This window comes from Homo sapiens, chromosome X, assembly GCF_000001405.40.
Source record: "Homo sapiens chromosome X, GRCh38.p14 Primary Assembly".
NCBI lineage: Eukaryota > Metazoa > Chordata > Mammalia > Primates > Hominidae > Homo > Homo sapiens.
In genome coordinates, this window is record NC_000023.11 from 11,748,271 (window position 1) to 11,758,152 (window position 9,882).

At 43.0% G+C, this 9,882-nt stretch overlaps 1 long non-coding RNA gene across 2 annotated transcripts, besides 2 other annotated features; it reads right to left on the reverse strand.

Annotated features, from left to right (window-relative positions):
- Nucleotides 1–2,182: 2,182 nt before the first annotated feature.
- MSL3-DT (MSL3 divergent transcript) lies at nt 2,183–9,813 on the reverse strand. 2 transcript variants are annotated; one of them, XR_007068393.1, is made up of 2 exons: nt 8,482–9,813; nt 2,183–7,250 (listed from the first exon to the last, which is right to left on the reverse strand). It is a non-coding gene; the product is annotated as an MSL3 divergent transcript (long non-coding RNA). The 2 variants fall into 2 exon arrangements; XR_007068394.1 differs by having other exon boundaries at nt 7,365–9,435.
- Nucleotides 9,507–9,706: a silencer, noted in NCBI's record as "silent region_20660". NCBI's record gives its function as "represses an Ori minimal core promoter by ATAC-STARR-seq in GM12878 lymphoblastoid cells {active_cell/tissue: GM12878}" and the evidence as "EXISTENCE:reporter gene assay evidence [ECO:0000049][PMID:35858748]".
- Nucleotides 9,727–9,876: a silencer, noted in NCBI's record as "silent region_20661". NCBI's record gives its function as "represses an Ori minimal core promoter by ATAC-STARR-seq in GM12878 lymphoblastoid cells {active_cell/tissue: GM12878}" and the evidence as "EXISTENCE:reporter gene assay evidence [ECO:0000049][PMID:35858748]".

Genomic DNA, 9,882 nt, shown 5'->3' on the forward strand with positions numbered 1-9,882 from the left:
ACACATTCTTATAGTCTGAATATTATTACATTACTAAAACAAAAATCAGTGTCTAATACATAGCTATAATTTCAGAGGCAATTTTCCAACAATTTTAGTGGGAAGTCTCAGAAATTCATTTACAGTTTGATTTTTCCATCTTGGACTACAGTTTCTCTTTTTTTGAGACGAGGTCTCACTCTGTCGCCGAGGCTTAGCTGCAGTGGTATGATCATAGCTCACTGCAACCTTGAACTCCTGGACTCAAGTGATCCTTCCCCCTCAGCCTACAGAGTGGCTTGGACTAGAGGCATGTGCCACCAGGCCTGGCTAATTTTTTAAATTTTTATTTGTTAGAGATGGAGGTATCACTATGTTGCCCAGGCTGGTCCTGAACTCCTGGCCTCTAGTGATCCTCCAATCTCTGTCACTCAAAGTTCTGGGATTACAGGCATGAGCCACTGTGCCTGGCAACTTAGACTACAGTTTCTGAATTAAACTGTTTTATAAGTGATGGTTAGGTTTACCCTCCAGCACTCAAAGCCTATTTAACCCATAATATACATGAGGTATTAATAGTTCTATTTCAAATACACTGAATCACTTATTATGTCATATCTATGAAAAAATGCTAGGCTTTGGGGATACATGTTTGCAAAAGATGACACAGTCCTGGGTCTCATCGAAGTTACAATTTAGTAGAAGAGACAAATAATTAAACAACCACACAAATGAATGTGTGATGATGATCTGAGACGATGGCTACAAAATGAAGGGACCGGTGGAGACATAATGAAGCACCACAGCCTATCCTTTGGGTCTGGAAAGACCAACGTGGCAACCAGGCAAAGGAGCAGAGGAAGAACATTCTGGATAAGGTGTTAAAGGAACTGGGACAAGATCAGTGTGGGTGGTGTAGGGCAAGAGAGGAAGACAGTGGCATGAGAAAGGCCATGTCAAGACTATACTTTGCCTAGTGAGCCATGCCATTTCTTTCTAATAGCAAAGAGAAGTCCCTGGGAGACTAAAAGCAGTGCAGTTAGTATCATGATAGATTTACATATTACAATGGTTCATCCTACCCACACTGTGAAAAAAAGATGCTACAGAGTCCATGTGACAAAAAGATGCTACAGAGTCCAGTTGGATACAAGGTATCCAGTTAGAAGGTTTCCGCACTGATGCAGGAGAGGTGACAGTGGCTCACACCAGAGTGGCAGTAGTAGAGATGTAATAAAAGATTAATGAGCTAGAAAGCTACTTATGTGATAGGACCTGGTTAGGGATTACCGAGAGGGTTGAGAGAAAGCGGTTGTCTAGAATGACTACACATTTTCAGGGCTACTTAGGGAGTAGAACTGATTGAATGTTAGGGGTGAGGGAGAAAAATGAATAGGCAGTATCCAGATAGATATACAGCTTGAACAATAGGATGGATGGTGATATAGCCACTAACATCAACTGAGACACAGCAGGAGGCTTAGGAAGAAAGGTGATGAGTTGCATTTTGGACTTGTTGCATTTAGATACATTGGGTATTCCCTAGATATGAGGCTAGCATATGATTACAGGATAGCACTCTGATACTTGAAGACTAGAGAAGAGACGTAGGTATGGGGAGTCATCATTTTGCAGGTTACACATGCCCCATCAGCGGGGTTGAGATGGGACTGTGGGGAAGCACGACTGTTAAGAAAATAAGGTTGCAGGTCTCATTACCTCTTGCATTAATTAATGCAGAGTCCAATTAATGAAAGTCCAAATTAACAAAAGAGTGCAACCTCTTTTCAGTAACATGTTTATACAGTTCTCAGTAATTTATACCTTGTCCATGCAATCTCCCTAGGTTTAACTGCTGGCTTTCCTCCAGGAAAGCAAAGTGACTGCGAATCAGATCCACTAGTCACCATTTTACTCCAATACAGTGAGATCATGTACTGAGTGAAGAAAAGCAGAATTATTTTCACACTTCAGCCTCTTTTGCAATCTTACTGTTCCTGTCTGAGAACTGGTCTTTCACCATTCTTTCTACTACTGCGACATACCAACGTGTATGGAACAGTACACCCAAGCCAGGCTCATTGTTTACCACTTTCAGGAAACTATTTGCAAACCTGAGATGGGATTAGAACACTCATTATAGCTAACATTTATTTTTTTCATTATTAAACTTTATTGGATATCAACAAAACGAAAAATTAGATTTGGTACAAATCTTGAGAAACTTTTATTTCAAGCCTTGTTAAAAACATGTCTAAAATAATTTGGTTCACTTTCCTGCTTTCCTGAAAACCACTACATAAAATATTGGCTACACCTTGAGGTATTCAGAAGGTTCTATTCATTAGAACTCTTGGTTGCAAGTGACAGAAACCTACCTGAACAATAAACTGCTTTCTTTCCACTTGAGTTGCTTTCCCCCTGTGTCCAAGTAGCAAGAACATGGAATAATTCTCATTGGCCTTGTATCGCACCAAGGTGCCTTTTTGCCCAATCACCTTGGTGAGGAGATGAGATATTGCCTTGGATCACGCCTGGGCCATCTGCCCAACTTGTGGTCAGAAGAAAAGATCTGCTACCAGAATAAAGAAGATGGCAAATCTAACAGGACAGACTAAATATAGTCACTACAACACAATTCACACGATGACGATGAGAATCCAGTACTTTGGGTAGCATGAAAAAAAGAAGTGACAATACCTCAGAGTCATCACTTTGAATGATGATTGTCATTGGAGACAATCATCTTAATAAGATTGGGGTGAGATAAAAAAAGTCACTGTATATTCTTAGAATTTTTAAGGTTTTAAAGTCATCTTTGTAGTAAATTATTAATCTCTGGAAACTAAAATATGAAAATCATTTTCAGTTACCTTTTGATCTAAAAATTACCATTTTTAGTTTAGGTTTTACTACATATAATCCAAGTAGAATGAAGGATAATTTAGGTCAATAATTTTTAATTTGATAATTGAGCTAATATTTTCATGATCCATTAGTCATGGACTCATATGGTAATTTCCTCATGAGATTCTGTTTTAAAAAACAATGTCAGCCAGGTGAGGTGGCAAGTGCCTGTAGTCCCTGCTACTCAGGAGGCTGAAGTGGGAGGATGGCTTGAGGCCAGGAGTTTGAGGCTGTAGTGCACTATGATTGTATCTGTGAATAGCCACTGCACTGCAGCCTAGGCAACATAGCAACACTTGTCTCTAAAAGAGCAAACAAACAAAAACTGCCCCCCCAAACAAAACAAAAAACAATGTCAGTATGATATCTTGTGAACATTAATTACAGATTTGAGTAAAGAGGAAGCTGTATCTAGCCATGGTTCCTGGGAGAACTGAAAGCTAATAATAAATACTCAATGTAGCCTGATTCTTTTTACCACTCTTTCTTCAAAAACTTAACAAAAATTAATTACAAGGGTGACAAAGCCGCTTTTCAAATATGATAAAAACAGAGAATACTGTTTTTAAGAGTCACTCACTGAAATATGACCAAGAAACTAATAATTTCCAGAATATATTTCAACAGCAAAATTTGCAATTTATGTGTATTTTGTTCCCCTGTCATGGTTCAACAACAGTTCATAATGTACAATTAATAGTAATTTTATTGTTCATAATACATCATCATTTTTATATGAAATTAGTCAAGGACAGTTGTTTTACTCAGAAACATCATGTGAGTCTTAAGTAAAGCAAATTTCAGGTGAGTAAGACATTCAATCTTCCTTTTAAAATTCTTCTGCCAAATTTCAAATAGGCTTTAATGTTTCAGAGGTCTTGGCATTTGAAGGTTGTCATCTAGTTAACATTTTTTAAACCCGACTTGATATTTTGAACCTTTTTGAAAATGATTTTGTGTAAATTTCTCTGGAATTTCAACTGTAAGGATAGTCTTCTAATCTGGCTTTTGTAGCTGATATGACTCAATCTCATGAAGACTAAAATGATTATATGACTGCAAGTTCAGTACCCTTTTTAATGCAAATAATATTCTCTGTGTTTGTGCTAATTTGATATGTCACAGGTGCAGAAAGCATTGATTACATAGCTGTACAAAGACAGAGATATTTGAAACCTCCTTAGAGTTTTATAAGCCTTTTTAAAAGCTTGTAAAACTTGGGATATTAACAAATGGAGAAAGTGGGACATGGATATTAGATAGAACTAGATTGGAAAACACCTTGCCATTCTGACGTTTATTCATGTGCTACCTTGGGTAAGCCCCTTAACATTTCTGAGCCTTAGTTTTCTTGTTTTTAAGTGCAGATAATAATTATCTAGTTTAGAGGATTGTTTAAGGGCTAAAGAATATGACATGTGGAAAAGTTGGCATGTAGCCACTCAATAAATAGCTGCTGTTATTATTTGGTTCTGTTAAATGGAATAAACCTCAGCTTTGAATGTTTAATCTTGAATAAGAAGGTTGAGGACCTAAAGTTACTTTTTAAGCTTGTACCAGGGCCAAATCTTATGCCCAAGGTGGCTTTACTCAAACTTGCCAATAGATGTAAATAATCATTCTCACCATCTTCAAAAGTATCCACTGACCCTAAGTACAGTGTCACAAAAGTGCAAACTGACTACATTCTACAGCTCTGAATTCATCAGAACCCAATTATATCCTGAATGTTGGCCATTAAGGTTGTTGATCATACAACAGGAAAGCCTGACAAGTACCTGCCTCAGTTTACACCTGAAACAGAACACTGGGCTTCATCTGTACAGCAAGAATTTCAATTTTTGAATTCACAGATGCTGGAATCCCACTCTGATATTTCAATTCAATGAGTCAAAGTTGCAGCTGTAAAAAGCTCCTCAGGTCACCCAAATTCTGTTTTTTAATGTGTTTGTCTGTTACCATACTGTTCACAGTTTTTCCATGTCAGTAAATATCTGTCTACAACATAACTTTAAATGGTTTCATAATATAGGCATGCTGCTGGACTTTGTTTCAAACTTGCAAGATAGACATCATGTATGTTAATACTCTTGCTATTTATAAAGTGACAGTGACTTGAGTCCTGAATCTTACAGCCCAAGCCCAGCCACATCGTTTTGTGGAAAGGTGTGCTTACCAGCATCATTGGCTTTGGTGTCAGCCTGAACTCACGCCCCATCTTTGGACAAGTCAGTTAGCAATGCAGGTCCCTGTTTCTACCTCTGTTAAACGAGGGTGATCATAATACCACCTCCTAAGGTTTCGAGAATGACTGGATCTGAATATGTCAAGTGCTTAGCAGAATGCCTATCACATAGAAAACACTCAATAAACCTTAATGATTGAGGAAAAACTAGGCAGCCTCTGACATCCAGGAGCTGGCCCGGCATGAACAGCTGGGCCTGGCTATTCTCATATTGATCATAAATAGTGTCATAGAATATCAGGTGAAACCACTTAGGGACCATGATGGATCATGACAAGAACAAGACCACTCCAACCATGCCTGAACACAGGCAAAACACAACTACTGTCCAAACCACAAAATCCAAAACAGTCCCTTCTCCTGGCTAATATGAGTGACAGCCACTTCTTTACCAATCACAGCTTCAACTGCAATCTGGTCTTTCCTCCTCCTAGGTAAGATGTAATCAAATACCCAATCCTAAAATCACCTCTTCATGACATCATCAAATGCAGAGGAAAACCTTACTTCCTTAACTCCTTCACAAGGAGAAGGGCTTCAAGCCACCAAATCATGGAACACAAACTCAAGTCTTCCAATAAGCCTTTTCTAACTCCCTCACTGAGGCTCCCCACAACTTCCCAAGGCGCGCCTTCTCCCTGGCTGAAGTAAACAATATACAACTTGTTCAACGCAAGTTCAACAAGTGTGTTCCTAGTGGTCTTTGGCTGGAGGGCACTGATGGCAGTATTCTGGAACGCTTTCTTCATAATATAACCACAATGTAGGTAGCTTGGTTTTTCCCTTGGAACTACATCCCTATAACATCTGAAGAATTACGAGTGGAAACCAAGAAGCAGTGAAAGTCAACTCCACTTGACCTGAGAAGCACCAACAAGGATTAAGGATTAAGAAGCATTGCAACTTTTGTAAAAGGATCACTATAACTTTTATCAGAATATTCATTAACCACAAAATTATTCTTAGGATGTAGGTCTGCATATCACCTAAGACCAAAAGAAGAAAAAAAAATCCAATTGTAAGGTCATCCAGTTCTAAGGTCAAAGTTGTAAGATCATAGATTGTTCTTAACTTTATAAATGGGTTGTTCCAGAAATTCATTTAAAGTTTGTTTCTAACCTAAAAGAGACATTCTAGTTGAAACCGTATCATAAATGGTAACTAGGTTTACCCTTCATTCCCAAAGCCTACTGAATACTGAATACATGTGAAACAATATTTCAAATGCAACATCAATTATGTCTACATGTCCATGGAAAAATGCATTCTCACCATCAGAGGTCTGTCTCATCAGTATCACCAAAATTAGCAATAGACAACATACCAGATGCCAATAACCTAACTCTACAACTGCAGGAGGGGCGTGATCAGGATGCTTTTGCTGCATGGAGGTTTATTATGTCACAGAGCAAGAAGTTTGGCGTTAGGCATCAGGATTAGTTAATTTAGTGCGTCAGGGGCTCAACAGCTCCCCAGTGACCCAGGTGAGCGAGTGCTAGCCTTGGGCTCTCATCCTCAGAGCCTCAGTGACGATGGCCAGCTCCGTGGTGCCAAGGTGGCTACAGCACTGACACCCTCTCCAACGCCGCATTCTGATGCAGATGATAACACCCAGTGAGGAAGAGGAGACTTTATGCCAGATGTATTTCTTTTGGGGGGAGGCAGGTGGAAAATATTTTCCAGAAGTACTCACAGTTCCCCATTTTAACTCGCTATGAGAATTTCTCATTGGCCAGGCGTGTATCACATGACCATACTTAAACCAGTCACTGTAAGAGGAAGGGGATTGCCGGGATTGGTTTAGACCAGTAGTTCTCAGCCCCGCCTGCACAATGGAATCGCCTGGGAACTTTGGAAACAAAATTCCAACTCCTGGCAACAGTATTTTAACAAGTTTTCAAAGTTCCCCAGCTGTTCCAAATGTATACCCAGAGGTGAGTCCTACCGTATTAGCCCGATCAAGTGTCACTCCAGCCCTGGTGAGAGGTCTGCTCTAACAATGTGGGATGGCAAACACCTGAACAAAATTGGGCCTCTGCCAGCGGGGCGGCGGGCGACGCAACTAACTGGATCCCGCACTGCACTCACCTTGCTAAGAGAAGCAATTCCTGTAGGTGACCTATAATGAGAAATCAAAAAGATTTGTTATAAGATTTAATGGTTATCTTAATCCCGACAAAAACAAGACCATTCTATAATCATGCCCGAATACAGACGAAACTACTGTCCAAACCTCAAAAACTGGAAAATGAGGAAAACACCTAAGTTGCAATTCAAGAGTGCCTTCCTCTCTGGAGCTTTTTCAGATACTCTCCCTCCTCCTAGAGAGAAGTAAGCTCTTCTGTCTCCTCTATTCCACACCAGCTTTATCAGGGTATGCACATAAAGCTTGAACTTGATTGCTTGCTGCTCCGCCCTCCTGAAATGTGCCCTCTGGGAGGACAGGGGTAATGTATGTATTCTACTTTGTGTGTCTAGCAACCAGCACACAGGAGGTCCAATAAATATTTGCTGAATGAATGAATGAATGAATGGGGGACACGGAGAAACAGATAAGAAATGCCTAATGTCAAGAGCAAATATTTACCCAGCCCTTATATGTCAGGCACTACACAAAGCCATGTACACTGAATTGACTCATTGACTCCTAAAAAACCCTATGAAGTAGGAGCCACTATTTCCTTCATTTTAAACATGAACAAAGTGCATTACAAAGAGACTAACCAGTTGTCCATGGTCACAAGCTAGAAAGTGACAAGCATGGGACTGGGTCCTGGAGAGTGGTTTGCAGAGCTGGCCATGTTCTTAACCTTTACACCCGAGAGGAAAAATGATGTCCTGCATTAAGGGTGGAGCCCTCTCTAGTGGATCCTAATCTGGAGGAGGACTGTAAGGGGTGCTGCCATTGGCAGGCTTTTTAACTTTTAGGTTCCTGAAGGCTTTTGCATTCTTGGACTTTTTAGAGGGACGGGGAAAGAGGAATTCCTCAATGACATAAGAAGGGGTGGAAATGCGGAGAAACAAAGGAAAGCATCTAAAATCCTATCCCTGAAAGGGTAGAGCCTGCAGCAGAACTCTCTCCAATCATGGGCAGGAAAAATAAAAAGGTGAATACTTCAGTTACGGTTTACACAGGACGTGCAATTACATGTGCTTCCAAGCCGCCCCTGCCATTTGTGGGGAACACCACCATCTACTGTTCTCATCTCTGATACACCACAACCTGGAGAGGAATCATGGTTCCAGTTCTAGTTTCTGCACCGTATTACCCCAAAGGCCATTTGACCATCTTCCCCCAACCTTTAACTCCTCTGTATAGCCTTATTCTGGCGGATGCAGCTATTACTCACCCAATTCCTTGGGCCAGAAAACCTGGAAGTCTCTCAAGATTCCTCCTTCCCTCTCCTTCACATCCAATTGGCCACTGAGTTTTGTGGGTTCTATTTCCTAAATCAATCTGTTCATTCATTCCATATTATGTGCCACGAATACGCCGTGATGAATTGGATAAGACCCCTACCCCCAGCTTCAAAGAGCTTACTGTCTTAATGAGGTCATTTTGCAAATGAACAACCCATTCTATAGCACAGTGGTACATGCAAGAAAGGGGTTAAGCAGAGTCCTGGGAGGGAACACCTCAGGGCTTTATGATTCATCTTGGGAAGCCTGAGGGCTTTTCTGTTGGCATGCCCACGCTGAAATGTGAAGGATGTATACCAGGAACCTGGTGAAGGAAGCGTGCAGAGGGGAAGCAAATGCAACTTTCTGGAGGCTAGAACAGAGAAGGGGAAGTTCACCAGGTCCGCAGAGATTAGCCTGGAAGCTGGTCTCCAGCCCGGTCCTAATCCAGTAATTACACTGCCCAACGGCTTTCCAAAACTCAAAAGAAAAAGCCCAGCACTGTCCTTCCTGTCCCTGGAAGTTTGTCCTTCAAGTCTCCCATCACTTGTCATTCGCTCATCAAGTATTTACTTAACATCCACTCTGTGCAGGTACCATATTGATAGCGGCCTCAAGGGTGCTTCTATTTAGGGAATTTTTAGTCTATTGGAGCAGATAGACCGTGGGGGGCATTCCGGGGATGCTGGGGGCTGTCAGGCCACGCTAGAAGCTGACACTGAAGACGTCAGCTACTCTTTAAGGACCCATCTGCCTCGCTGCCCACTGCTCAACCCGTCACTGGGGGCTCCAGGCCTGCCACCGGCTTGTCCTCTGAAGGGATAAGCAAGTGTTCTATTCACAGCCCGGAGTGCCCTTCTGCCCTCGCCCGAGGCCACTGCCCGCCTGGGGCCAGCTCCAGCGCTGCGTTCTCCAAGCGTGGCCACACTCATCGGCGCGCTGCTCTGCCAAGGGGGCTGACGCGGCGCGCACGGCCAGGGAGCTCTTGGGGGCAGACGCCGTCCAGCCTCCCGGCCGCCGGGTGCCTACTCCAGACCGGCTCTCTCTCTCCCTAGGCGCCTCCCACGCCCGGGCCGGAGAGCGGGCGCTCGGGGCGACGGACGACCCTGCGCGCACGTGGGCGCAGCCTGGAGGCCGCGGGGACCCTCTCCCATGGGGGCGACGGGAGACGTCCTGCCGGTAGACCTTGGCCAGGGGGTCGCGCTCCCCGCCCGCACCCCTCCCGGAGCCCCGGCGGGGACGTGCGGGGACGCGCCCGGGCGGGAGCGCGCGCGCCAGGCGCCTCCGAGGTCCCGGCAGCGGCTCGGGGCGGGCGGAGGAGGGGCCGAGGGCGGGGCGGCCGCAGCCTCCGC